A 27,359-nucleotide genomic window follows, 5' to 3' on the forward strand; every position below is an offset into this window, starting at 1 on the left:
AGCTCCAAGCCCTGGCCTCACCCTACCTGGTCAACGAGGTACCTGACAGCCTAGCATAGGAAAACAATGGCCATCAGATTGCACAGTCAAGGGTTAATTTCTATTTTCAGTCAAGAGCATTCACATGCAAAGCCCTAGAAATGACAAAGACCCCTCCTTAGAAACTTTAGTTGGGCTCCTCTGAGCCATCTTCTCAGCTAGGCCTTGACCTTGGACTGCTGAGCCCAGCGTTAGCAACAATCCTAAGTCAGTTAATAAGAATCCCCCTGCCCCTGATATCTAATCAAGTTCCTCTTAGTAATTCTCCACCCACTGATCCCCTCACTCTGCTCCTCTGCTGTAAATCCCCAATTGTCTTCACTGTATTCAGAGTTGAGTTCAACTTCTTCCCTTATTCCAATAGGAGCAATAAAGTCTTAAAACAATTTTTTTTTTCCAGCCAGGGTCTCACTCTGTCCCCCAGGCTGGAGTACAGTGACACAATCACAGCTCACTGCAGCCTCTATCTCTCAGGTTCAAGAGATCCTCCCGCCTCAACCTCCTGAGTAGCTGGGACTAAACAATAATCAGGGACACAGGAAAAAGTAGGACCTGAGACAAGTAGGACCACGCCTGTAGTCCCAGCTACTTGGGAGGGAGGCTGAGGTGGGAGGATTGATTAAGCCCGGGAGGTGAAGGTTGCAGTGAGCCAAGACTGCACCATTGCACTCCAGCCTGGGCAACAGAGTGAGATTCTGTCTCAAAAAAAAAAAAAAAGAAATCGACACCAAAGGACTAATCTTAAGGAAGGAAAACTGCTCATTTCAACGTTATTGATAATTGTGGATAACTAAAAAAACTCAAATATAGAAAAAAATAGAGAGCACAGATACAGGCCCGGTGCTGGGGACTTTACACATGTGCTTCGTCTCACTCCCTCACATAGATGGATAAGTAGAGATCAGGAAAAGTTAGAGAGGATCAGACCTGCAGAAACCTCTTCAAAGTAGCCCTAGGGAAAAGTTTCTCATAGGAATACAGAGCTCTCAGAATTCAAGGAAAACTTGAATATCAAAACTCAGGAGGTCGAACACTTAGGGCAAGTGTAGAAACTTAACTAACACACACATTCTTGCAATTCACTGTGGCTGCTGCACTATTAATGCCTCAGCTATCAAATCATCCAGTCTCTGGCTGAGAGAGGATCTGATTTGTCAACCTGGTTGATGGTGACCTGGGTCAGATGCCCACCTCTGGTCCAAAAGACCATGACCATCCAGGGAGGGTGGGAGAGCAGGGCAGGGCTGTGCATGTAAACACAGCAGCCAGAGCTGTGGGTAGAAGTACATGCTCCTAGAAAGGGACATGGATCGTGAGGCAGAGATTGGACTCAGGCACGTGTAAGTAACAAAACCATGCCTGGTCCAGCCCTACTGTCTTCACTACATGAATCTGTTAAGTAGAATTATGGCACAGCAAGAGGACGGGAATATTACACAGCCACTAAAACGCTGAACGCAGAGACCAGGCAGCAATATAAAAACTTCATTACAGGTTGGGCGCAGTGGCTCACGCCTGTAATCCCAGCACTTTGGGAGGCCGAGGTGGGTTGATCACGAGGTCAGGAGTTCGAGACCAGCCTGGCCAACATGGTGAAACCCTGTCTCTACTAAAAATACAAAAAATTAGCCAGGTGAGGTGGCAGGTGCCTGTAATTCCAGCTACTTGGGAGGCTGAGGCAGGAGAATCACTTGAACCCAGGAGGTGGAAGTTGCAGTGAGCCAAGACTGCACCACTGCACTCCAGTCTGGGCAACAGAGCAAGACTCTGTCTCAAAAAACAAACAAACAAAAAAAACAAAAACCTTCGTTACTATATAACGCTGAGTGGAAAAATTGTAAACCAAATTCTGTTTCTGCTATGATGACAAATATGTGAATATAACGCTCAGATGTAATGGACTCAAAGGGATCTTGGCCAAATGAAAACAGCTTGGATAGCTGGGACGGTGTGATGGTAAATGAATTTCTTCCTTTTATAGAGAACTTTTAACATTGCTGTGCTATTATTTTAATAAAAATAAAGACTTCAAGGTGGGTGAATCACTTGAGCCCAGGAGTTTTGACAGCAGGCTGGGCAACATGATGAAACCTCGTCTCTCGAGAAAACAACAACAACAACAACAACAAAACCCCACAAAAATTCGCCGGGTGTAGTGGCGTGCACCTGTAGTCCCAGCTTCTCGGGAGGCTGAGGTGGGAGGATGGCTTGAGCCTAGGAGGTCAAGGTTGCAGTGAGCCATGATTGTGCCACTGCACTCCAGTCTTGGCAACAGAGGCCCTGTCTCAAAAAAAATAAATAAATAGTTCAGTTCTTACTATGAACACAAACCCTGGGATTCAGGGAATATGAACTTCTAAGCACAAGGACATAAATACCAACCACAGACTGCAGGAGAAGGTGGTGAATCTGCCCCTGGCCCTGCCAGCCCCGCCTCACTGCCTCACCCTATTCACCCCCTCGACAGATCCTGTCTTTATTTAGAATGCTCATCTTTTATTCATCATGGTTTTTGTTTTTTTTTTAAAGAAAACATTTTTTGGTTTTTAAAAATATTGCATTAAAATACTATTTAATTACCGAGTTTTGTGCTGCCCTTCAAATTGTGTGCCTGGGGCAAGTGCCTCCTGCCTTTGCCCAAAGCCACATATTGCATGACCTTTCTTCTCCGGAGATCGGAAGAGAAAGGGTTACTACAGAGTGAAGCAAAGAACATCCCAGCCTTTCCCTTCCTGAGGAAGGGACTCTCTGCTATCACGGGGGAACTCTCTGAAGTCTTGGCAATCATTTTTCCTTGTAATAGCAATTATGGTTCCCCCCCCCACTGGGGAGAAGAACCCTAGTCTAGGACACTCAGGAAAGCCACAGGAGAGCAGAGGCTACCTGTCAAGCAGAGCCACACACAGCCTTGTCTGAGCCCCTCTCCTTTCCGGTTCAGCTATAGGAAAGCTGAGAGAAGGCAGTACTCCGCCCTGGAACTGCAGCTCCTGGCGAAGCAGACAACGCTCAGATACGGAGGGAAAAGAGCCAGCGAGAATTCACCTGTGACACTTGTACAGGCTGAGGTCTAGGAAAAGCTGTGTCTGCCTAATAAGCATGAATAAGAGAGGGAAAAAACAAAGATGTGGCATCTACCCAAACATTTTGGAATTAGAAAACAGCAGCAATAAAAGAATGTAGCACACAAATACAGATAAATATTCAATCCTGGGGGAAAATATAACCCAAGGTGAAGATTCTCCATTTGGATTTTTTGAGTAATAGAAGTTAATAAAAACTTGAATTTTAATAAAAACAGCTCAAACATGAGATAAAAACGGAATATTTAAAAATATAAAATGTGTATCAGAGCTAAAAAAAAAAAAGAAACCCAAGATACCAATACAAAACTAAAGTTAACAGAAGATAAATTTTTCCAAAATAATGGGGGAGGGGGGAGCTGAATCTGCAATCAATTAGAAATTACACAGCATGCTCTAGAAGGATTAAGAAAAAAGATTCAGAAAAAAAAAAAACAACACTAAGACTTTTCCTAGAAAAATTACTAAATGTTAAGTATGAGTTGCATAAGTAAAAAGGAGCTGAATGCTATTTATTAATTTTAAAAAATTATTTAAAATTTTTAAAATTTTTCAATTAAAAAAAGAATGAAGAATCCCTAAGGAGTCTAAGAAAAAGCAGTCATAAAGGAAAAAAATTTTTAAATCAGTTACAAAATCCCCCAAAACAAACAAAGAAACATAAAATCAAATTTAAAAAAAGAAAAAGAGAAAAAGCAGTCACTTCTAGGGGAAAGACAGGGGTGGCCTCACACCTCTCCAGTGGAGCCATGTGTAAGAAGAGCTGAAAGGTAGAGCTGGGCGTGGTGACTCACAACTTAATACCAGTGAATCGGAGGCCGAGGCAGGAGGATTGCTTGAGGACCAGCCCAGGCAACATGGTGAGACACCTCCATTTCTCCAAAAAAAAAAAACAAAAAAAAAAAAACCTAGCCAGGCATAGTGGTGCATGCTTGTAGTCCTAGCTACTCGGGAGGCTGAGGCAAGAGGATGGCTTGAACTCAGGAGTTTGAGGCTGCAGTGAGCTATGAACACACCACTGCACTCTAGCCTGAGTGAGACAGCAAGAGACCCTGTCTCTTAAAAAACAAACAAACAAACAAAAAACTTCCAGGGAAAAAAGCAAGGCTCAGAAATGTCCTACCCTGCATGCTCTTGTCCAAGCATAAAGGCGGACACTGTGGGTGCAGAAGGTGGATATTATGTATCTTGTCAGTATACAAACACTATTAAACAATAATCAGGGACACAGGAAAAAGTTTGTGAGTTCCTTTCCCTTGTTCAGTGGTTAATGCATACTAAGTTGGTTTAATTTAAAAAAAAAAAAGAGGTTTAACAGTATAAGGGAAACCACCAGAAGTACAAAAGCCACAGTATCACCATCAAAACCAGAAAGCCTGAGGATGAAGAAGGAAAGATGTGTATATCTGATACAGGTTTCATAATTGATAGTCAAAAGATATCATCCAAATTTATTAGATCACTAGATATTAAAACAAACAAGACAAAAAGGAAGACAAATTCATTAAAAACAGGACATTTCTCCCAGCTATTTGGGAGGCTGTGGTGGGAAGATCAATTGAGCCGGTAGGTAGAGACTTCAGTGAGCCGTGATCCTACTGCACTCTAGTGAGGGCAACAGAGTGAGACCCTGTCTCAAAAACAAAAACAAATGACATTTCTCTTAAAAAATTTTTGTTTCGTTTTTTTGAGACAGAGTCTCATCCCGTCATCCAGGCTGGAGTGCAGTGGCCTGATCTTGGCTCACTGCAACCTCCGCCTCCCGGGTTCAAGCCATTCTCCTGCCTCAGCCACCTGAGTAGCTGGGATTACAGGCCCGCACCACCACACTCGGCTAATTTTTAGTAGAGACAGGGCTTCACCATGTTGGCCAGGCTGGTCTCAAACTCCTGACCTCAACTGATCCACCCACCTCGGCCTCCCAAAGTACTGGGATTACAGGCGTGAGCCACTGTACCCAGCCCAACATTTCTTTTGCTCATGAATCTGCAGACTGGGCAGACTGTTTCTCAGCTCAGCTTATGTTGGCTCCCCTCAGTGTCAACTAGGATTGCTTGAAGGCTGGGGCTGGAAATGTTTAAATCTTATCCACATGTCTGTGCCTGGGCTGGGAAGACTCATGCAGCTGGGGTTGGAGCAGGTGGGCCTCCTGGGTATCCCTCTCTCTACGTGAAACACTGTACGCAGCCTCTCCAGTATGGTGGCTTCAGGGTAGCCAATTAAGATATGGTTTTACAATCTATTAAACTGGTAAATGTGATGCCCAAGGCTGGCAAGGATAGATCTATTGTTGGCAAGGGTAAGCTGACTAAACCACTTGGGAGGGCAATTTGGCAATACACACCAAAATGTTAAATTCCGTTTGCTCTAATAATTCTACTGCTAGGAATTTACCTTTCAGATATAAACAAAAGTGTACCGAAATATTTTGTATGAAAATGTCCACTGCAGCACTGAATATACCAGCAAAAAATCTGAACACTCAAGTGTCCATCAGCAGGGACTATGCAGTGAAACAGTGGTTCAAACCTCACCATCACCCTGCTGATGTAGGACACCTTCAGCTATGGCCTGCACTACTGAAGCACCTCCCAGCTCACGGCTCACACCTGCTGGGGTCCTCTTCTGATCACTTCTCCTGTGCAACCAGTGCAACCTGGACTGCCTTTCACACCCACCCCATCACAATTAAGATCCACCAGGGCGTCCCAAACTCCTACCAAACTCCATGTGCTACGCTCCTCCAACCTGGGCCTGCACTGGGCCCCAGCCTCCCCGCTGGCCTTCCTGCTGCCTCTCCCTCTGCCACTTCTAGCCACAGGGTCTTAGCTCAGACTGTTTCCTCTGCCTGCCTTACTCTATTTCTCCTCTCCTCCTCTTGCCCTCAGAGAAGGCCTCTGGTTTTCTTAACCTGGTCAGGGAAGATTCTACCTCCCCCTACCCTGCCCCTTTCATACTTCTAACAGCTGCCATTTTACTTTGTACATTACTGACATTTGTCTTCCCCCACCGAATCATTGAGTTTTACGATAGCAGAGGCTGTATCTACACCGTCCTGGCACCTTGTAGTACCTAGTACATAACAGACACACAGAAACTACTGGGTGAAGTGGGGGCACACTGCACAGGAAACAATGAGACAGATCTGCACATTCTGACATGGGAAGGCTCCTAAGTGGAAACAGAAGGTACAGGGCGGAGTGAAAGCTTTGCTACCTTTTGCTTAATTAAAGCAATTATCTCATCAAAACAGCTGCTTTATACTGGGCCATTATGGCTATGCAGGACAGTAACCCCATCAAACTGCCCTGAGTACAACAGAAAAAGCCCACAGACAGGGCTTGGTTCAGCCACGGCATGATTCAGGGACTCGTTTATGCCACCAGGGTGTGGCGCTCTCTCCCCACTGTCAGACAGTTCTCTTCTCCAAGGGCGGGGCCTACAACAGCTCCCGCTCCAGGTTCAAGATGCAGGAGGAACAAGAAAAGCCTCTTTCAGGGCCTAGTACCCTAGTACGGTAGATCACACAGGCCTCACCCTGGAGAGGGCATGGCCTGGAGGGTGGGGGGACTGCAGGGCAAATGTCCCATCCAAAGCAGAGAACTGAGAATGCAGAGGGTGTGGTTCTTTCGAGGGAAATGTGAGCAGCTACCAAATTAAGGGGAAACAGATGCTGTGAGGCCAAAACAAACATACATCACCATAAGTACATTTACATAAGTAAATGTACTTTTTTTTGGTGGATGGGCAGGGAGGGGGATGTGGGGGCACAAATTGTTAACAGCAGCTTCCACTGGGACAAGCTACCACCGGCGGCAAGAGAGGGATACACTTTTCACTTTGTACCATTCTTTAACACTGACATTTTCTAACCATGTAATGTGCTACTTTTAATTTATTAAAATCACAATTGAGGGTTTTTCCCAAAGAATTTTAGTTCTTAGAAATGACATCTGTATATAAATGTTCTAACTCTTATTCACAGTAGGCTCTAACATGAACGGCAAAATCAGACATCAACAGTAGCACATCATGTTACTCTATACGAAAGCACAGATTTAGGCACTTTATCAAAGAAAAATGTTTAGAAACAAATGAGGTTATTGAGTCGTCTGTCACACTCTGCAAAGGACTCTGATTCCCTACTTAAATCCTTTAAAACTGTCACATTAAATGGAACATATAACCCCTCGACACCAGCAGTACTCTTTCCTAAATAAGGAAACAAAACAGAACCCCTAACTTTACAGACCACATAAAACCTGACAGACACCAAGAGTTCTCTTACTGATGAGTAAGATTCAAGTCAAAGAAATTCAAAACTACTTAGGATTTCAAGTGACATATTTTCTATTCTCCGCATTTCCTGCATAGATTTTGGATTTACACACCCTGGCTTCCTGGCTACAGACATCTGAGTTCACAAAGCATATTTTACCTTTAACATAATGAAAATGATGTATATGGCATGAAGAGTTTACTCAATTAAGTCAAGAGTTTTAAAGTCTTCTCTGATCAGAATTTGCTATCTGATCAGAGCAGGCCACCCAATCACAGCAGGTGCTTGGAGGGGAGTGGAATCTCAGTAGAGTTGATGACTCACCAAGTGTAAATGGGAAAAAGCAACACAGTCACATTTCCATGTAAGGAGATTTTATAGTAAACATGAATTTGTCAGTGTCCAGTATTAATTAGAAAACATCTGTCTTCTTACTTGAAGCCTATTAAGCAGTAATTCTTTGACCACAAACTGGTCATGTGGCAGACCCTTTCTAGAAGACACTAGAATGTCATCCGGTGTGCAGTTGCCTGAGACCACTCCCACCCCAGGAGCTGGGCAAAGAGCTCTCCACGTCCACCTGTCCCCCCACAGCGCGTCACTGCTGCCCCATCACAGGTCTTCTCTTTTATTCCCAGCTCGATTTTCTTCCTTGGAAGACCGAGATTTCAGATCTCCTTCCTTCTTTTTTTTGCCCTTGTCTTGCTTTGTTTTATTTTTCTCTTTGCTTCCTCCTCCTTTGCCGGGGTACACCTGGCCCTCCAGAGTTACATCAGCACACCTGTCTTGACCGACCAAAAAGTCCTTGATCTCCCAGGCGTAGCTCCCATCGCGAAGCATGAAGATAGCACGGTCTGATCCCACAATGAACCTTGGGCAGAGAGATGCAATCAGTCAGCCAGCACGTACTAGTAAGGTGCTAAGGGGTCAGAGCAATTCTCTGGCACTTATCAGTTTATTTCAAATTCTACATGAATATGGAATGAAAAATTGGATTTTCCAAAGCCTAGCAGCTACTGATATCTCATGTATTAAAATACTAGCTTGCTGAACTATTAAACATCCAGCTCAGATCAAAATAGAAACAGACACTGGATGTTCCTTTGTTGTATAAATGGATGCCCGTGTTAAAAGTGAACATTTGGAAAACCTCCCTAGGACACTGCAGAGGTGGCTCAGGGGCTGCTGCTGGGGAGGTAAAGAGGCAGCTTCGATCTGATCTGTATCTGTTTTATATTCTAGAGTGTCCAGTTACACTTTTATGGGACAAAAGACTTCTGCTGATAAAGGTGGAAAACCAATGGCTTAGAGTGGGTCATGATAAGAGGCTATGAAGGACTCAAGAGGACACTTGGTTGTTGGACAAAAATCCTAGCCCTTGAGCTTAGCAGCAAGCTGCCCAGCTCGTCCACACTCGAAAGGTCCCAAGGAACAAAGCGGAAAGAATGAGGCCTGGGTGGAGCCCTAGTGTGGCCAGCGGGCAAGATTCTTCTGTTCCTTAGGGACTACACCACGCGTTCCCCCTTCAGTTTCTAATGCTCCCACCACTCCACAGAGACCAGTGGGCCTTCTGGAGCAGACATCACCAAGACATTTATTTGTTCTGTCTAGGTGTCTATTTAAGCTAATTGAAAATATTTTGCTGGCCGGACACTCTCTAAGTACTCCTCCCATTTCTTGTCATTGCTTTTATATTTCCTAAACCAGAATATTTGCAGACCCCAAATTTCAGAACTGTTTTTGAGGAAAAAGAAGCAGATTTCTTAAAATTGTACCTCAGGACCATACTCAAGTGTGAAAACTGAGCCTCTTCATACTAAATTAGTTATCGGTTAACAGCATGGTCCAAGCTCTATGTGTGAACATAGCTACACACAAAGCACTTTCCACTGAGCAGAAACTTCTAGCTGAAGCTGTCAAACTATTAACTTTGTCCCTCAAAGAGTCTAAACTAAGCTATACACCCTTCTGTTCAGATGAAATAAAAGCTAAAGATCCAAAGATAAATAAAACTTTAGGATCAACTGAGATATTAAAAAAAAACACACACTAGGCATGGTTGCCAGTGACAGTAATCCTAGCACTTTGGGAGGTTGAGGTGCAAGGATCACTTGAGGCCAGCAGTTCAAGATCAGCCTGGGCAACATAGTGAGACCTCGCCTCTTCAAAAAATAAAAACAAAAACTTAACTGCTTTTACCAACAATAAATGCCCTTTTTTTTTTTTTTTCTTCCCCGAGATGGAGTCTTGCTCTGCCGCCAGGCTGGAGTGCAGTGACGCAATCTCGGCTCACTGCAACCTCTGCCTCCCAGGTTCAAGCGATTCTCCTGCCTCAGCCTCTGGAGTAGCTGGGATTACAGGCGTGCATCACCATGCCCCGCTAATTTTTCTGTATTTTTAGTAGAGACAGGGTTTCCCCACGTTGGCCAGGATGATCTTGATCTCCTGACTTCGTGATCCGCCCACCTCAGCCTCCCAAAGTGCTGGGATTACAGAAGTGAGTCACTGCACCCGGCAACGCTCTTCTTTACATTAAAAAAATCTAGATAGGCTGAGTGCAGTGGCTCACACCTGTAATCCTAGCACTTTGGGAGGCTGAGGCAGGCAGATCACGAGGTCAGGAGATTGAGACCATCCTGGCTAACACGGTGAAACCCCGTCTCTATTAAAAATACAAAAAATTAGCTGGGCGTGGTGGCAGGTGCCTGTAGTCCCAGCTACTCGGGAGGCTGAGGCAGGAGAATGGCGTGAACCGGGAAGGCGGAGCTTGCAGTGAGCTGAGACTGCGCCACTGCACTCCAGCCTGGGCAACACAGTGAGACTCCGTCTCAAAAAAAAAAAAAAAAAAAACAAACTAGATAGATAAATAATTTTAAAAGAAAACCTAGAAAGGAAAGGCAGAGGCCCTTGGGAAATACGGCCAGAAAGGACACCCTGTTAAGAGCCTCAGGAAAAGCCCCAGCACAGGGCCAGGTGTGGTGGCTCACGCCTGTAATCCCAGCACTTAGGGAGGCTGAGGCGGGTGCATCACCTGAAGTCAGAAATTCAAGACCAGCCTGGCCAACATGGTGAAACCCTGTCTCTACTAAAAATACAAAATTAGCCAGGCATGGTGGCGGGCGCCTGTAGTTCCAGCTACTCGGGAGGCTGAGGCAGGAGAATCGCTTGAACCAGGGAGGCGGAGGTTGCAGTGAGCCGAGATCACGCCGCTGCACTCCAGCCTAGGCAACAAGAGCAAAACTCTGTCTCAAAAAAATCATCATCATCATCATAATTAATAATAATAATAAAGAAAAGACCGAGCACAGCCTATGAGTCTCTCAGCTGGTTGTTGCTGCTTTACCTCTGGACGTCATAGTTGGCATTGAAAAGGCTGCCCTGCCAGAGGCTCGTAATTTCCTCTGTCTCCTTCTCAGTAGGGCTTCCTGATACAGTGACAAACATCATGAGAGTCTTCCCTTTTTTCGTCATTTTCAATATGCTTTCAGGCTTGCTTGGGTCTATCTTTGAGAAGTCGACAGGTGCTGAAGGTCTCTTGTGCTCTGGAAGATCTCCTTCTTCAATGTCATCATCTTTCTATCAGATTAGGGGAAAAGCATCAAACCTATCATCAGAATCTTGCTTTTCAACTGGCACAGGCAAAAACTTCTGCATGATGTCAGGTGCATGTATATGACTTAAATTACAACATAAAAAGGAAAACCAGGGGTTTTCTTCCTCTTCTTAACTTTCAAGATAGTCTAAGTTTCAGGCAGCACATACTACCCACACCCAGGTTACCAATCACAGAGCGCCCCCATGTGATGGGTTTCTAGAGCTTTTAAACTCTCATACAATCTACCCAACATGGTAGGCTGTAAAAATGGCCACATTCTGGTATGGTCACACAATGAAATACTTCACAGCAACAGAGAACAAATACTGATACATCTAACAAATCCCAAAAATGTTAAGTGACAGAAGCCAGATACAAAATAAGATTTACTATGCAATTCCGTTTATTTAAAATTCAAGAATGAGCAAAACTAATCTAGGGTAACAGAAATTAGAACAGTGTTGCCTGTAGAAGGGGGGACAAGGGAGGATTAACTGAGAATGGACACAAGAGAACTTTTCTGGGGTGATGAAAATGTTCTACATTTTGACAGGGGTGTAGATTACACAGATATATCCATTTATCAAAATTTATTGCAGGCCAGGCACTGTGGCTTACCTTGTAATCCCAGCACTTTGGGAGGCTGAGGTAAAACGATCACTTGAGGCCAGGAGTTCGACATCAGCCTAGGCAACACAGTAAGACTGTCTCTAAAAAAAAATTTAAAAGTAGCCAGGTATGGCAATGCACACCTGTAGTCCCAGCTACAGTGAGGCACACCTGTAGTCCCAGCTACTCAGTAGGCTGAGGTGGGAGAATTGCTTGAGCCCAGGAATTTGAGATCAGCCTGGGCAACATAGTGAGATCCCATCTCTTAAAAAAAATTTAAAAATTAGTCAGGTGTGGCGGCAGGTGCCTGTAGTCCTAGCTACTCAGGAGGCTGAGACACGAGGATCACTTGAGCCCAGGAGATCAGGGCTGCAGTAAGCTATAATTATGCCACTGCATTCCAGCCTGGGAGACAGAACGAGACCCTGTCTTAAAAGAAAAAAAAAAAAAGAAAAGAAATACTCCCTCTTTGCACTGTATACTTAAAATCTGCACTCCATGTATACCCATTTCACTTAATAGGCATTGTACAAAAATATTCAATTCCAGTTAGCAGGTTTGTTTTCTGTAGTGGTATGGGCTAGCAATTCTGAGACTATCTTATGTGACCTCTAGGATTGAGAAAAGGAGTAAACATATTGAGGGTAATGAGAGCCAGGTTCTTAACTTCTGGGAAGTAAGTTACAAACATGAAAGGGGGAAGAATGAGCCCTGTGGTATTAGGCTGGAATTGAAGGTATCAGGAGAAACTCATGGTTTTTCATAGATTAACAGATGAGTAAACAGATTAATGGATAAAAATATTTAAAAGAGCGTGGGTTCCTTGGAGAACAGGCTTATAGCAAGAGAGACAGAAGATGAGCCTAGAATAATCCCGCATCACAAAGTAGTAAAGTGCTCAAAGAATCGTGAACATGTCAAAATGCCATGGAAGCCAACTTGAAGCAGCTCTCATGGGCCAAAGTTGAAATAATCTCAACATCAAAATAAATAATAGTATGACTTACAACCCCTCAAACAAAATGAGATGTTGAACCCATAATGATCAAAACAAATGAATAAATTACTAATAGAAAACAGTAACTTTTTTTTTTTTTTTTTTTTTTTTTGAGATGGAGTCTCACTCTGTCACCAGGCTGGAGTGCAGTGGCACGATCTCGGCTCACTGCAACCTCTGCCTCCTGGGTTCAGGCGATTCTCCTGCCTCAGCCTCCCGAGTAGCTGGGATTATAGGCACGCACCACCACATCCAGCTAATTTTTGTATTTTTAGTAGAGACGGGGTTTTGCCATGTTGCCCAGGATGGTCTCGATCTCCTGACCTCGTGATCTGCCCACCTCGGCCTCCCAAAGTGCTGGGATTACAGGCATTAGCCACCATGCCTAATAAATAGCATATAGACTGACAAATAAAAAATCTTTAATAGAACCAGGTTCCTTGGAGAAAAGGCTAATGCCAGCAACCAAAAAAAATGAAGTACTGGCTGGGTATGGTGGCTCACAACTATAACCTCAGCACTTTAGGAGGTCGAAGCTGGAGATCACCTGAGCACAGGAGTTAAAGACCAGCCTGAGCAACATATCATGACCCTATCTCTACCAAAAAGAAAAAGAAAAAAGAAAAAAGAAATGAAGTACTGATTGATACATGAAAATATTATGCTAAGTGAAAGAAGCCAGATATGAAAGACTACACATTCTATGATTCCATTTATAGGAAATGTCCAGAATGGATAAATCTGTTGAGACAGAAGGTAGATAAGCGATTGCCCGGGGCTGGCTAGGGAGTTGGGAGAACACAGGGGAGGAGTGGTTGAAGGTTTCTTTTGGGGATGATAAAAATGTTCTAAAATTGAGTTTGGTGATGACTGTACAATTCTCTGAAGATACTAAAACTAAAATGTACACTTTACATGGGTAAATTGCCTATGGCATGTGAATTGAATCTCAATAAACCTGTTACCAAAACAAAAAACAAAAAAAAGCCCCTAAGTCACTCTTACTGAACAATATCTGAAGGGCCAAGGCTTAAGATACCATTAATAATGTACTATATTAAAAATAATTTTAGTAAAAAGTAAAAACGAAAGAATTCTACGCAGTGCTTGAAGGTGATCCATACCGACGTCAGACCTGGAATCTGGTTTCAGTTTTGCATAACTAGCTGTGTGACCCTGCCTAAGAATCCTTACGCCTCGAGGCCTGTTTCCTCATTTACAAAATGAAAAGCAGAACGAAGTGATCTCCAAGGCCCCAGTAACATGACCACACATAACACACTAACCTTCTTTTCCACTCTGCCACCCTCTCAACTGACATGTTTCTTCCTCACTTTGCTTTCAAAGAGCCACTGATGGTGACTTGCAGACAGGAGCATGGGCTGTGCTGTCAGACGGATGCGCTCCATCACTATGTGGCCTTGGGCAAGTTACTTAGCCCATCTGAAAATAACTTTCCTTACCTATAATGGAAAGCTGAGGGTAATAACAGCTTCTCCCTCCTAAGGTTTGTTTGGGGATGTAATGACTTAAAGGCAAGCAGAACTCAGTACTGTATCTGTTGGCTATGACACTGCTGACTCTTTAGGCCTCTGTGATCTGGCCTCCAACCACAATCACTGCATGGAAATTATACTCTCAAGTCACAAAGGACCTCCTAGTTGCCAAATTCACAAGTTGTTTCTGTCTTTATCTTAATTCTCCATAACATCGGTTATAGTCTCTTTAAAACACTTCAAGACTTCCAGTTGGTTCAATACCCTAGAATATTTGTATTTTTCAGATTGATTTCACTAATAATCATGAAATTAACTCAGTAGGTCCCAAGCAGCTTTTTTTTTTTTTTTTTTTTTTTTTAGATGGGGTCTTACTCTATTACCCAGTTTGGAATGCAATGGTGCTGGTGCAATCTTGGCTCATTGCAACTTCTGCCTGCCAGGCTCAAGTGATCTTCCTATCCCAGCCTCCAGAGTAGCTGGGACCACAAGTGCATGCCACCACACCTGGGTAATTTATTTTTGTATTTCTGGTAAAGACGGGTTTCACCATGTTGCCCAGGCTGGTCTCGAACTCCTGAGCTCGAAGGATTCACCCGCCTCAGTCTTCCAAAGTGCTGGGGTTACAGGCATGAGCCACTAAGCCCAGTCCAGCACTTCTTTGTTAATGCAAATATAATTAAATAGTCGTAAGTCTAGTGCATATAATACAGGTAAAAATTGTTTCAAGAGACTTAAAAAAAAAAGCAGCTTTAATTTCCATTGTATATGTGTGTGTGTGTTTCAGTTACAGAAAAGAAAATTGCAAAATAGTACCCTAATGAGCCTGGAGGACATTATGTTAAGTGCAATAAGCCAGACACAGAAAGACAAATACCGCGCATTCTCCTTCGTATGCGGACCTAAAATAGTTGTGTTCACATAAGTGGAGATTAGAATTGTGGTTACTAGAGGCTGGGAAGTGGAGGGGAGATAGGGAGAGAGGATGGTGAATGGATACAAAATTACATTAGATAGGAAGAATAAATTCTAGTGCTCTATAGCATTGTAGGATGACTATAGTTAACAATAATTTATTGCATATTTTCAAACAGCTAGGAGAGAATTTTAAATGTTCCCAACACAAAGAAATGATTAATGTTTAGGAGACAGATATGCTAATTACCCTGAATTGACCATTACATTTTATACATGTGTAGAAATACAACTCTGTACCCCATAAATATGTATAATTATTATATGTTAAAATTGAAGTGTAAAAATAGTACCCTAGATGTACATAATTATCCAGTTCTACCCTTAGTCTGGGTAACCTAACCTGTTATGATCAGTGTGTTTATGCTGAAAACAATCCAGTCTTTACCCTGAGGCAGAGCGGGGGGCCAGGGACAAGTCAGGCAGTCCCCTGACTCCAGTCCTAGCCCTGCCTCCAGGCCAGTCTTGCATTTTCAACTGGCTTTAGAGCTCCTTCATTACTGTTTGTCTAAGTCAGTAGCTACAAAGCTGAGCTCCCCTTTCTGCAAATCCTCTTCTTCCTCCCATGGTTCTTGATATTAATAATAAGTGACATCTACTAAGTAGCTACTAAGTCCCAGGCACTCTACATATATTATCTCCAACCTTCAGAACAATCCTACCCGGTTCCATTTAATATACAAGGAAGATGATGTTCAGAGAGGATAAATGATTTACTTAATTTACTCACATGCTAGAAGTGCAAACCACATTTCTGGCTCCAAATCCCTCCAACTGCCTCTTCCCATTATACCTGGCTATCATAATGTAAAATGTAATAACCACCTTTGGTTTTTCTACACCAATTGGGACTCAGAATTAGTTGTAACACAATGGAAGGAATTCTCACCTCTCCACACCTCTGAGGCACAGCCTCTCACTGAAGCACTGTTTCTCACACTGCTGGGGAAGGAGTGAGGGTATGGATTTAGAGATGGTCACAAGAGGAGAAGAACTGCTTCCTACAAAAAAAGCACCCACAGAGATGGATACGCTCTCCCACATAAAAAACACTGCTACTGGGGAAGAGTCCTCATGTCTGTAGAGCGTCTACAAACATTAACTCATTTAATCCGCATGGCACCCTGCAAAGTAGGGCGTTATCTGGCTTTACAGATACGTAAAACTAGGATGAAGTAGCTAGTGAGGGGTAAAGCTGAGTTCAAAATCTGTCTTTTTTTTTTTTTTTGAGACAGAGTCTCACCCTGTCGCCCAGGCTGGAGTGCAGTGGCATGATCTTGGCTCACTGCAACCTCCACCTCCCTGGTTCAAGCGATTCTTGTGCCTCAGCCTCCCAAGTAGCTGGGATTACAGGTGCCCGCCACCATGCCCAACTAATTTTTTTATTTTTAGTAGAGATGGAGTTTCACCATGTTGGCCAGGCTGGTCTTGAACTCCTGACCTCAGGTGATGCACCCGCCTTTGCCTCCCAAAGTGTTGGGATTACAGGCGTGAGCCACTGCGCCCAGCCAACCTGTCTTTTTACTACATTATGTGGCCCTGCTATTCACAAAATCAATCAATTGCCCAGGCATGGTGGCTCACGCCCGTAATCCCAACACTTTGGGAAGCCAAGGTGGGAGGACTGCAAAGGCCAAGAGTTCAAAACCAGCCCAGCCAACATAAGGAGACCCTGTCTCTATAAAAAATAATTTAAAAAACAAAATCAACCATCAAGTCCTGTTAAAAGTATAAAAATCTCACATTTCTCCCTTCTACTCTGCTCCTGCAGTTTCTAGCTTAATCCACGTCTTCCTCACTATCCTTCATTTGCACTTCTGTCACCAACATGTGTGGCAGTACAGGTAAAACAGTTCAAAGAACTGGCTCTAAAAGTCGCGAAAGAATTTGAAACTCAGCTAGCTTGCTGTGCGATGTGGAGCAAGTTATTTAACCTCTTTGTGTCTCAATGTCATCATCTAGAAAATAGGGATAAGTACCTCCCTCATGGATGGGGTAAAAGGATTAAATGAGATAATGTGTTTTTCTTGGCCTTCAAAGTCTCTCCCCACTCATCCATCCTGTTATCTACTGTTCCCAGTGCAATCTTTGTTCATCTCTTCAGCACCCTCTTCGTCTAGCTCAGGGTCTGAGTAGGTCAAGGGGAGGATTTCTCATGAGGTGATGTTCTCACTCTGGCAGATCAAAAGGCTTTATTTGCTGGAGTCCAAAAAGAGACAAGGAGATTGCAAGGGAGACGGTGAATGGGGACGTTCTCTCTACACTCAAATCTATCCCAATCTTTCCATCAGCTGTTGATGACCACATGAAAACACAAGCCTGCATTCTTCTAGTCAGATGCATCAGGTGGTATTTTAAACTCTTGTCTGAAAGTCTTTCCCTTCTCCCGTAACACACACAGAGATAATCACAAAATAACAAAACATCAGTGTTGGAAGGAATCTTAGGACCCATCCTAACCTCCTCATGTTGCAGATAAAGAAACCGAGGCCTAGAAACTAGACATAACCTGCCCAAGGTTCCACAGCTATGCAAGTCAACCAGGACGATACAATCACCTTAGGAAGGGGAAAAGGCAGCAATGTGGTTTTGGCCAGTAATCTTTACCTTAAAGCGTATTACACACTCCCTGTAACTGCACACTCCGGTGCGTCCAAGTGACAAACCAGAAAACTTACTCTCCTTTGAACAAAAAGCGTGAGTTTCACGATACAGAGCCATTAGCCATTGATACTTCTCCCCTCAGTAAAATAAATCCACCCACAAAAAGCACAAAATTCCCAGCAGGGACATATACCAAAATAGGAAGTCTAAAATTATACTGATTTAGAAGACAGCTGAGATAACCATTAAGGAAGACCATCTTCACTGCAACCCACTCTCCCACCCACTCACCGCAAAACAGAAGGAAATGCTCTTTAGTAGATTGGGAAAGGTCACTCTCCCTGTTTGCAGGGCTCACTGACCACAAGAATCAACGCAAAGACAACCAGGGCACTGAAGGGTGAAGGGAGAGCAAAGCTGAACAGTGAGGGGCAGATCCGTGATTGAAGTGGTTTGAGAAATGGCAGGAGGAACAGGGCACTGGAATGACAGAGGGCTGGAGCGAGGGTCAGCAGGGCGCGCGGGTCAGAGGAGGAATGGAGGGTCAACAGTGGCTTCAGTGGGTCAGTAAGGATTCAAGGCATGAGTAGAGGAGGTTAGGGGGTCAGAAAGGTCCCAAGACAGAACAGGTAAGGGGTCATAGGGAACAGGGTCCCGCACAGAGAAGAGCCGGGAGGGTGTGCGCGCGCCGCGGACCTCCCATTGCTCCAGAAGACGCGCCATGTCTGCATCATTGTAATCGCGAATATCCTTCTTCTTCTTCCGGGGAGGTGGGGTAGACTCGTCGGGCGTCCCGGGCGAGCCTTCGGCCGCGCAGGACCCAGGCGGTGGTAGCAGTAGCAGCAGCAGCAGCAGGTCAGAGGCACAAAGCAGGACCACGGCCTTGCGCGCCCACCTGGAAGCCGCCATTTTCGCTGCGCCGCGCAGCGCCCTAGACGCGCTTACCCGACCTGCGCGGGCCGGACCCCGCCTTGCACACGCCTTCCTGTCCGCCTTTCCGAGGCCCCGCCTCCCGGCCCTCGCTAGCCTACCGGGCCCCGCCCCGTACCATTTCCTAACCCCCGCCTCTGGAAGCCCCGCCCCTCCGCCATTTTGGCCCCGCCCCACTGGCTCCTCCTCTTGGTCCGGCTGAGGCGCTCTGTCCCGGCTGGGTGGGTCCCTGAGTGCTCATTTTTCGTTTTCCGTCAGAGGCCGACCTTTTTCTCTGGAACGCACAAGCCAGGTCCAAAAGTTCCTTCAGGGCCTCCAGGAACCACTAACCAACGTCCCTGTTGACCTCAGTTTCTCGCCTGTGAAATAAATTGGAACTGGAAGTTCTGGAGGCTGCCTCGGCTCTAAAAAAGCCCATTTCTGGATGTCGGACGTTTATCCTCAGTCTCTTGCAATTTCCTTTGAGAACAGCCAGTTAAAAAGAAGTGAGTGGCAGGTAGGGCAACTTTTTTCAGAAAGTCATAAATAGTTCGAGTCCACTGCTTTCCTCATCAATAAAGAGGATTCAGTTCAACCAGCTTTCAATATTTGTTTTTTTTTTCCAAAAAGATCATTACTATTCATCCAAAAAAAAAAAAGCTTGCCTTTCTTTGATTTCAACCTAATACTGTAGGCTCTAACTAATCCTTTTCAAGGCTGAATCACGCTACTTTTTGTTTCTTAAAAAGATTTTGGCCAAAGATGCTTTGAGATTCTTCTTGTTTTAAACGGCTCATCAGCTGATGTCTTTAAAATGTTTAATTACATAAGACCTTAAAAAACAAAAAACAAAAAAAACCAAAGGCCGCACGGTGGCTTAAGCCTTTATAATCCCAGCACTTTGGGAGGCTGAGGTAGGACGATAATTTGAGTTTAGGAGTTTGAGACCAGACTGGGCAATAAAGCAAGACCCGCATCTCAAAAACAACAACAAAAAACGCTTCATTCTTTATACTGCTGCACAGTTTTATTTGGTATTGTTAAATTAATAGTTTATTTTCCTATTGATGGGCATTTATTACCAATTTTTCTGCTATTACAACAAAAAAGAGCTGTAGTAAACCTTATTCAAGCCTTGTTTGGATAGGATTAGTAGGCTGCATATAAAAGAAAACTGACTTTTTAAGGTGGTTTAAACAAGATAAAAGGTTTTATTGTGATTGACTTTTCTTTCACAGAAGCAGTGTAAACTCGAAACTAGGGCTGGTATAGTGGCTTCTCAGCCATCTGGTACTCAGCCTCTTCCTCATCCTTCTATCATATTAGCCTGTGGCTTCCACCCTCAAGGTCAGAAATTCCAGGATGGCTCCTGGAGCTCCAGTCATCAAGATGACATTCAACCAGAGGAAGGGAGAAGGCAGGCCAAACCAAGCACACCTTTCAAGTGGAGTCAACTTCTTTTAAGCAGCCTACTTGAACATTGCATACATTTCTGTTTACATCTCATTGGCTGGAACCTAGCTCTCCAAGGGAGGCTGAGAAATTGTCTTCTAGCTGTATACATTGTCATCTCAAATGAAATTAGGATTGTTATAAAGGGAAAAGAATAAAGTGGAGGTTGAGTAGGCAACTACGCCTGCTTTCCTTCACTCTTAGGACCAGTGCAATTTAAATTCTCTCACACCGTAGGAGTGGCTGATATTCTACATATTCATGCATGCATCTGTATGTAAACACGCTAAGCTATGACCTTTCCTATTGACGTTGAGCAGAAACAACTCATAAGAAAAAGATTTTTTCTTTTGTGAAATCATAGGGGAAATGTCATGAGCTTTCTCCCCAGAGCACATTGCTCCACCCAGTGGCTTGGAGCCCTATCCTAGTGCAGTCATACTAAAAAACATGCACAGCTGTGGCTGATCATGTGCTCTACTGGGAGGGGTCACCCTGGTAATTCATATTGCCAGCTTCAAAGTTAAGGGGCAAACGTGTTGGGATTCTTGGCCCACATATCTAGTTATAGAGAATAAGATCATTGAAAGTTTTACAGAAATTGTTGGGAATGTGTAGAAAGTTTCAGGGCTACTGACTTTCCTCTAAGGAGGAAATCAATTCGGCATATAATCCACTGATATGAAAACATCTGGATCAATTGCATTTTCAACATTTGGATATTTGAAACTTACTTTAGTGTTTGGAACTTGATTCCATTCAACTTGGGGGGAATTTTATTTACCAAAGACCTATTGTTAACCAAGAATCAGGTGAGGCACTGATGCAAAAATGAATATAACAATATCCTTACTCTGGCAGAGCAGATAAACAATATGCAGTAAATTTCATGCAGATTACAGGAGATCCGGGCCCAAAGGGATGATGTGATGATGATGATAATCTCTCCAATTTAAATAAGAGGAAATCCTGGTTTTACAATTACACAATTTGTCTGAGGCTGCACAGCTAGTGCAGCGGCAAGGCAAGAATCTAAGCCGAGGTGTACTGGATAACAAGGTCCAGTCTTCTTGGAGTCCTTCTTCCGCCACAGCACCATCTAGGTTAATCAGTGAGGCACTCAGGATGGTTAAATTGGGAGCCAAATGGAAAATGCATTGAAAAGTCTGGAGCGAGGAGCACTCAGATGGGACAAGAGTCTGTGCCAGGTACCAGGTGGTGCAGTGTAGACTGGAGAGGACAGATGTGAAAGATTGTGTGCTCATGGCCTAAGTGAAGCCACAAGTCTCTTCAGTGCTCTGGGGTTAATACTAACCCCACCTCTAAGTGATTCAGTGACTGTGGATGGTAAAGTTGAATCTCAGATCTAATTAGTGTCTTAACCTGAGCTCATCCTGGCATGCATCATTCCACAACAGAGGAGGGTGAAGCAAGACTTTCTAGTACTATTTGGAAGCAGGCGGGGGTAATATTCAAAATGTTGAAAAACTGGAGTAGCACAATTACCAGTTAATCAGAACTGAGGCAGATGAGCTGATGGGTACAGTCACCATTGTGCCAAACATTAACCCTCTAATGACTGACTCATGGGAAGGCATAGGAGGAGAGGCCTGGGGATGGGCTGAGAGAGGTAATGAGTATTTACCATTTTGCACTTTTGTTGCTTTTTAATCCAATGTAAGAATAGACGTACTGCATACTTCCTGGGTTTTACCAGCCCCTAAATTTACTCACTTAAAAAATTTAATTACATAGACACGAATCATTCATTGTAGTTGCTAAATATTGGTAGCAACTAACTCGTTGCCTTTTGTTGGAATTTCAGATTTTCAGTAGAGAATGTGACTGGCCCAGTCTGAGGCAGGTGTCCATTCCTGGTCACCACCATTATTTTTGGGCAGAAGAGCATACTCACAGAGTTAAACATAATAATTAAAATTGTGTTTTCCTGGCTGGGCATGGTGGCTCATGCCTATAATCCCAGCACTTTGGGAGGCTGAGGCGGGCAGATCGCCTGAGGTCAGGAGTTTGAGACCAGCCTGGCCAAGATGGTGAAACCCCGTCTCTACTAAAAATACAAAAATTAGCTGGGTGTGGTGGCATGCACCTGTAATCCCAGCTACTCGGGAGGCTGAGGCAGGAGAATTGCTTGAACCCGGGAGGCAGAGGTGGCAGTGAGCCGAGGTTGTGCCACTGCACTCTAGCCTGGGTGACAGAGTAACACTCTGTCTCCAAAAAAAAAAAACAACTTATAAATCAATAAGAAAAAGATGAACAACCAAATGAAAAACGGTCTAGGACATGAATAGGTAATTCCCAAAAGAATAAATATAAATGGCCAGTTCACATGTGGCAAAAACAAAACAAAACACAGAATCTCTCTAATATCAAAAAATGCAAATTCAAACATGTTATAATTTTTAAATTATCAGTTGATCCTGGATAAAAATACAGACAGTATACACTGTTGACAAGGCTAAGGAAAGAAGTCTTCTCACTCACTTCTCGGGGGATGGAGTTTTCTGCTTGAAAATTAGGTGAAATGTATCAACTCCCCCTCCCCACAAAAAAGTGCATAATATGATTAGCAAGTCTACTTCCAAGAACTTGACTCTGAGGAAACAGACAATGAAAATAATAGTAATGTTAATATTGAGCACTTACTATTCGACAGGCATTCTGCTGAGTGCTTTCCGTGTATTTCTTCACTTACCCAATGTAACAATCCTATAACACTCTCCATGAGTGGGGAAAATGAGAACAACTCTAAGTGTTTCAAAAATTGTAGACTATAAAATCTACATTTACAGTTGCAAGCTGTATTCCACACATATGATGGATAATATGCAATCAAATATATATATTTGTTGCTACTAAAGATATTCATTTTATACTATATGATTTTAAATGCTATTAAAATTATACAGATATATATCTATGTATAGGAAAAGAGCTGCAAATATGTATACGATGGCTGTCTCTAAGCAGTGAGATTCCAAAATATTTTAACCTTTTCTCTGTATTTTCTATTTTTCTTCACATCTAACATACGTCAGTGGTGGTGTGTTGTTTTTGTTTGTTTGTTTTTTTGAGACAGGGTCTTGCTCTGTCACCCAGACTGGAGTGCAGCGGCCAGATATTGGCTCTCTGCAACCTCCACCTCTCAGGCTCAAGGGATCCTCCCGCCTCAGCCTCCCATACCACACCTGGCTAATTTTTGCATTTTTTTTTCTTTTTTGAGACAGAGTTGCACTGTGTAGCCCAGGCTGGAGTGCAGTGGTGCGATCTCAGCTCACTGCAACCTCTGCCTCCCGGGCCCCAGTTCAAGCAATTGTCCTGCCTCAGCCTCCTGAGTAGCTGGGATTACAGGCACATGCCACCATGTCCGGCTAATTTTTGTATTTTTAGTAGAGACAGGGGTTTCACCATGTTGGCCAGGCTGGTCTTGAACTCCTAACCTCGTGATCCACCCGCCTTGGCCTCCCAAAGTGCATTTTTTTTTTTTTAAAGGATGGGTTTTCACCATGTTGCCCAAGCTGGTCTAGAACTTTTGGGCACAAGTGATCCATCCACCTCGCCCTGCCAGAGTGCTGGAATTATAGGCGGGAACTGCCGCGCCTGGCCCACTTGTGCTTTAAAAGGAGAGACACACATAAACACACTGCTGCTTACAAAATGTGAATTGATACCCTTCTTTCCACCAATATGTAAGGGTGAAAAGTCTAATTTCAATGGAAATTATCAGAATAATACATGTAATTCAAATTATCTACAATAGTGCAATGGCCTTGAAAATTTGGGGATGAGATCTGAATCTCTGAAGAAGGCAGGACTTTTATCTGTGTCATCTGAAAAAATTACATGTACTTTGCAGCACAGATATATGCAGTTATGTTCAGAAAATTCAGTCTGTTTCCAAAGAATCACCTCCCTGGACTATCTCAAACAAGCTGTAAGAAAAATGAGGTGAACACACTTGCTAAGCAAACAGGCCTCAGGCCTCCCCTTCAATCTTAAGAGTTGTGAGCTGTTAGGTCATGACCAGACCTAGACTGTACCCCTGCTGTTGTTTCATGAATATCCATGACTTTCTGTCCGTTACTGAATAAAAGTTGTGAGCAGCCAGAGTTTGGTTCAATAAAAGGGCACCTTTCTTGCACAGAGACTTAACAGATAAAATAATTCATTAACTTATTAATGCCATAAACACTGAATACATTAAATGTGGGGGAAAGATGCATAGATCAAGTCCCTGCCCTTACAGAGATGATAGGGTTGTGGAGAGAGTTACACCAACAGTTACAAGTACTTGACGCCACTCTGAAGCTGAGCAGGCATCATAGTAGCTACAAGGGGGGGAAGAAATACCTGGGTCTGTCTGAAAGATCAGGGAACCTCCTTGTGAGGCACCAATACATCTAATCACTCTGTAGTTACTGACTACTAGGCACCATGAGAGATGTCAAAACTTGGTCAGGCATGATTAGTGTTAAGACCAGGGTGCCTGAAACTTAGCACTTGTTTTTTCTCTTCTTCAGGATGCTGGAAAATAGAAAATACATCCAAAGATGGCTGGCCAGTAAATGAATGGGGTACAGAATTTATTAATCTGTGCAAGCAAACTTTGCCTCCATGGAGGGTGCTCTGGTAAACTAATGCAGAAAATTCCAGCTCTCCTAGACTTCAGGACCTGCATGCTCAGGTGTGCCTGCCAAGGTATAACTGGTCCAGCACACAGGGCTCCCTCACACACCCAGCTGCAGGTGAACAGAGAGAAAGCATGGAGGGAGGAAGGGAGGGTGGAAAGTGGGGCTGGGGAGGAAATGGGAGTGATGTGTGAGGTACTGCCCAGGTGTTCTTACTGGATGGGAACAAAATATGCCAGAGAGCAAGAGGACATGCCAGGTAAGGAGAGCGAGGTGTTAGACAGTGATCTTGCTCCCTGGTGAACCAGGGGCTGTTGTCATGCATCACCTATGACAATGAAGGAATCTGGGGAAAAGAAGGAGAGATATAAATTCCTCTCTTTTACAACAGATAGTGAAAGGGAAATAATGCATATGTATAAGAAAGATAGCCTGAGATGTAATTGGCCCATCTGTGTGCACAAAAGCAAAACAGAGGGACATTGCTCCAAAGGGAAAAATAATTAGGGCAGAGAATGCCTCTTACTGACCAACAGGTGGCACTACAGACCAAACACAGCATGGTTGTTGGTCTGTAAAGTGTGGGGTAGTGTGAAAGTTGGGTATCAAAACCCAGAGTGGCCAGACAGGCTCACACCTGTAATCTCAGCACTTTGGGAGGCTAAGGTGAGAGGACCACTTGAGGCCAAGGGTGTGAGACCAGTCTGGATATCAAAGTGAGACTGTGTCTCTGAGACTTTCTCGCTACTAAATAAATAAATAAATAAATTTTTGATAGAATGAAAAGATCCGGAGTGCTTACAATGGAATACCGTTCACCCATAAAAAAGAAGGGAAATTCCCATGTATGCTATAATATCAATGAATCTTAAAGACATTATGTTAAGGCTGGGCACGTGGCTCATGCCTGTAATCCCAGCACTTTGGGAGGCCAAGGCAGGCGCATCACGAGGTCAGGAGATCGAGACCATCCTGGCTAACACAGTGAAACCCCGTCTCTACTAAAAATACAAAAAAAAATTAGCTGCGTGTGGTGGTGGGTGCCTGCAGTCCCAGCTACTCGGGAGGCTGAGGCAGGAGAATGGCATGAACCCGAGAGGCGGAGCTTGCAGTGAGCCGAGATCGCGCCACTGTGCTCTAGCCTGGGAGACAGAGCCGGACCTCGTCTCAAAAAAAAAAAAAAAAAAAAAAAAGATATTATGTTAAGTGAAATAAGCCAGGCACAAAATAACAAATATTGTATGGTTCCACTAACATGAGGTACCTAGGGTAGTCAAATTCATAGAGAAAGTAGAATGGTGGTTGCCAGGGACTGGAGGAAGGGGGAGTGGGGAGCAGTTACTTAATGGGTATGGAGTTTCAGTTGGGCAAGATTAAACATTTCTGGAGATAGAGGATGGTGATGGTTGCACGATAATGTACTTAACAATGGGTAAGATGATATTATGCTATTTTACCACGATTTAAAACATAAAAACAAAACAGAATGCCCATAATGTTCTCTTATACCAAGTGGTGGATGCACCTTCTAAAACAGGCAAGAGACGAGGTAAAAGATGTTTCCCCAATCCTGCCTGTCTCAACCTGTCAGTTCCTCTTGTCCTGCCCAAATCCTCAGTTCTCTCTTTGCAACTTGTTCACTTACTTTTCATCAGATGCCTATTTCAGTGTAGGCCTTGAGCCAGTATTGAGAATGCATTCTCTAGGGGCCAGGCCATTTACCAGCTCCCTCTCATCCACTCCATTTACCTTCCCTCAGCCAATCCTCAGTCCACACATTTTCCGCTTTCTTCTCTCACTCAACATCCATTAAAAAAAAAAATACTTAGTCCATTTGAGCTGCTATAACAAAATACCTTAGACTGGGTAATTTATAACTAATAGAAATTTATTGCTCACAGCTCTAGAGCTGGGAAGTAGAAGATCAAGGCCCCAGCAGGGGCCCATTCCTCATAGATGATGCGTCCTCTATGTTGCTGCATCCTCCCATGATGAAAGGGCAAAAGAGGTGAACAACTCTCTCACACCTCTTTTATAAGGCCACTAACCCCATTCAAGAGGGCTCCACCTCATGACTTAACCATCTCCCAAAGGCTCACCTTGTAATACTGTGACACTGGTGATTAAGTTTTAACATATGAATTTGGGGGTCAGATCACAGCAAATACTTTTGATTTATATTTATTTTAATTTTGAGAGGGTTAGAAGGGGTAATAGGTGGAGTTTTCTAAAGAAAAAGCCATTGCTTGAGTGACTCTAAGGGCAGACACCAACAAGCCATCCTCTAATTAGACTAAAAATATGCAACAGCAACAGACAACCCTCAAATCTCTGTGACTTAACACACCAATAATTTACTTTGTGTTCACATTGCATGTCCACTACAGATCAAGAGGGTCTGCTCCACATGGTCACCTAAGCTTACAGAGGCTCCACCAACTAGAATGCAGTCTCCGTGGTAGTTATAGGAGGGCAAGAGAGTGGAGAATTACAGATTGGCTTTTCATTGTCTCAGCCTAGAAGTAACCTGCATAGCTTCCCCTTACATTTCATTGGTCAGACAGAACCACATGGCCCTGCCTACCTACAAATATTGTATCTGTGAAGCCTGATTATCTCTGCTATAGGTTTTTTACTCTGTGCTCTCACTGTGCCAATAGTGAAATTGTGGCTGTTTC

At 43.7% G+C, this 27,359-nt stretch overlaps 1 protein-coding gene and 1 non-coding gene across 4 annotated transcripts in view, besides 11 other annotated features; both read right to left on the bottom strand.

Moving 5' to 3' along the window:
- Positions 1 to 18,611, bottom strand: part of MESD (mesoderm development LRP chaperone) — a 43,531-nt gene extending 24,920 nt beyond the window's left edge. The window contains exons 1-3 of one of the 3 annotated variants that reach the window (NR_126327.2): positions 18,371 to 18,611; positions 10,742 to 10,974; positions 7,723 to 8,269 (exon numbers count right to left, since the gene is read on the bottom strand). Coding sequence is in view for 1 of the 3 variants with exons in the window: in NM_015154.3 (NP_055969.1) it covers positions 8,011 to 8,269; positions 10,742 to 10,974; positions 18,371 to 18,583 (705 nt within the window). In the remaining 2 variants the exon portion in view is untranslated. Of the gene's footprint in view, positions 1 to 4,543; positions 8,270 to 10,741; positions 10,975 to 18,370 lie in introns of those variants that run through there. The other 2 variants (NM_015154.3, NR_126328.2) reach the window with 2 other exon arrangements.
- Positions 6,360 to 6,654: a silencer, noted in NCBI's record as "tiled region #7638; HepG2 Repressive non-DNase unmatched - State 12:CtcfO". NCBI's record gives its function as "represses a minimal TATA promoter and a strong SV40 promoter by Sharpr-MPRA in HepG2 cells {active_cell/tissue: HepG2}" and the evidence as "EXISTENCE:reporter gene assay evidence [ECO:0000049][PMID:27701403]".
- Positions 7,520 to 7,814: a silencer, noted in NCBI's record as "tiled region #7655; HepG2 Repressive non-DNase unmatched - State 15:Elon". NCBI's record gives its function as "represses a minimal TATA promoter and a strong SV40 promoter by Sharpr-MPRA in HepG2 cells {active_cell/tissue: HepG2}" and the evidence as "EXISTENCE:reporter gene assay evidence [ECO:0000049][PMID:27701403]".
- Positions 12,491 to 13,025: an enhancer, noted in NCBI's record as "H3K27ac-H3K4me1 hESC enhancer chr15:81276040-81276574 (GRCh37/hg19 assembly coordinates)". NCBI's record gives its function as "activates a minimal SCP1, AML or CMV promoter by ChIP-STARR-seq in naive H9 embryonic stem cells {active_cell/tissue: H9 hESC(naive)}" and the evidence as "EXISTENCE:reporter gene assay evidence [ECO:0000049][PMID:30033119]".
- Positions 13,860 to 14,059: an enhancer, noted in NCBI's record as "active region_9945". NCBI's record gives its function as "activates an Ori minimal core promoter by ATAC-STARR-seq in GM12878 lymphoblastoid cells {active_cell/tissue: GM12878}" and the evidence as "EXISTENCE:reporter gene assay evidence [ECO:0000049][PMID:35858748]".
- Positions 17,692 to 18,306: an enhancer, noted in NCBI's record as "H3K27ac hESC enhancer chr15:81281241-81281855 (GRCh37/hg19 assembly coordinates)". NCBI's record gives its function as "activates a minimal SCP1, AML or CMV promoter by ChIP-STARR-seq in primed H9 embryonic stem cells {active_cell/tissue: H9 hESC(primed)}" and the evidence as "EXISTENCE:reporter gene assay evidence [ECO:0000049][PMID:30033119]".
- Positions 18,295 to 18,574: an enhancer, noted in NCBI's record as "active region_9946". NCBI's record gives its function as "activates an Ori minimal core promoter by ATAC-STARR-seq in GM12878 lymphoblastoid cells {active_cell/tissue: GM12878}" and the evidence as "EXISTENCE:reporter gene assay evidence [ECO:0000049][PMID:35858748]".
- Positions 18,295 to 18,920: a biological region, named in NCBI's record as "H3K27ac hESC enhancer GRCh37_chr15:81281856-81282469".
- Positions 18,307 to 18,920: an enhancer, noted in NCBI's record as "H3K27ac hESC enhancer chr15:81281856-81282469 (GRCh37/hg19 assembly coordinates)". NCBI's record gives its function as "activates a minimal SCP1, AML or CMV promoter by ChIP-STARR-seq in primed H9 embryonic stem cells {active_cell/tissue: H9 hESC(primed)}" and the evidence as "EXISTENCE:reporter gene assay evidence [ECO:0000049][PMID:30033119]".
- Positions 18,560 to 18,854: an enhancer, noted in NCBI's record as "tiled region #7880; HepG2 Activating DNase unmatched - State 1:Tss, and K562 Activating DNase unmatched - State 1:Tss". NCBI's record gives its function as "activates a minimal TATA promoter and a strong SV40 promoter by Sharpr-MPRA in HepG2 and K562 cells {active_cell/tissue: HepG2 | K562}" and the evidence as "EXISTENCE:reporter gene assay evidence [ECO:0000049][PMID:27701403]".
- Positions 18,605 to 18,884: a silencer, noted in NCBI's record as "silent region_6738". NCBI's record gives its function as "represses an Ori minimal core promoter by ATAC-STARR-seq in GM12878 lymphoblastoid cells {active_cell/tissue: GM12878}" and the evidence as "EXISTENCE:reporter gene assay evidence [ECO:0000049][PMID:35858748]".
- MIR4514 (microRNA 4514) lies at positions 26,209 to 26,265 on the bottom strand. The gene has a single exon (NR_039739.1). It is a non-coding gene; the product is annotated as a microRNA 4514 (primary transcript).
- Positions 26,348 to 26,849: an enhancer, noted in NCBI's record as "NANOG hESC enhancer chr15:81289897-81290398 (GRCh37/hg19 assembly coordinates)". NCBI's record gives its function as "activates a minimal SCP1, AML or CMV promoter by ChIP-STARR-seq in naive H9 embryonic stem cells {active_cell/tissue: H9 hESC(naive)}" and the evidence as "EXISTENCE:reporter gene assay evidence [ECO:0000049][PMID:30033119]".

The sequence above is a fragment of the Homo sapiens genome, chromosome 15 (genome assembly GCF_000001405.40).
Source record: "Homo sapiens chromosome 15, GRCh38.p14 Primary Assembly".
NCBI classification, from domain to species: Eukaryota; Metazoa; Chordata; class Mammalia; order Primates; family Hominidae; genus Homo; species Homo sapiens.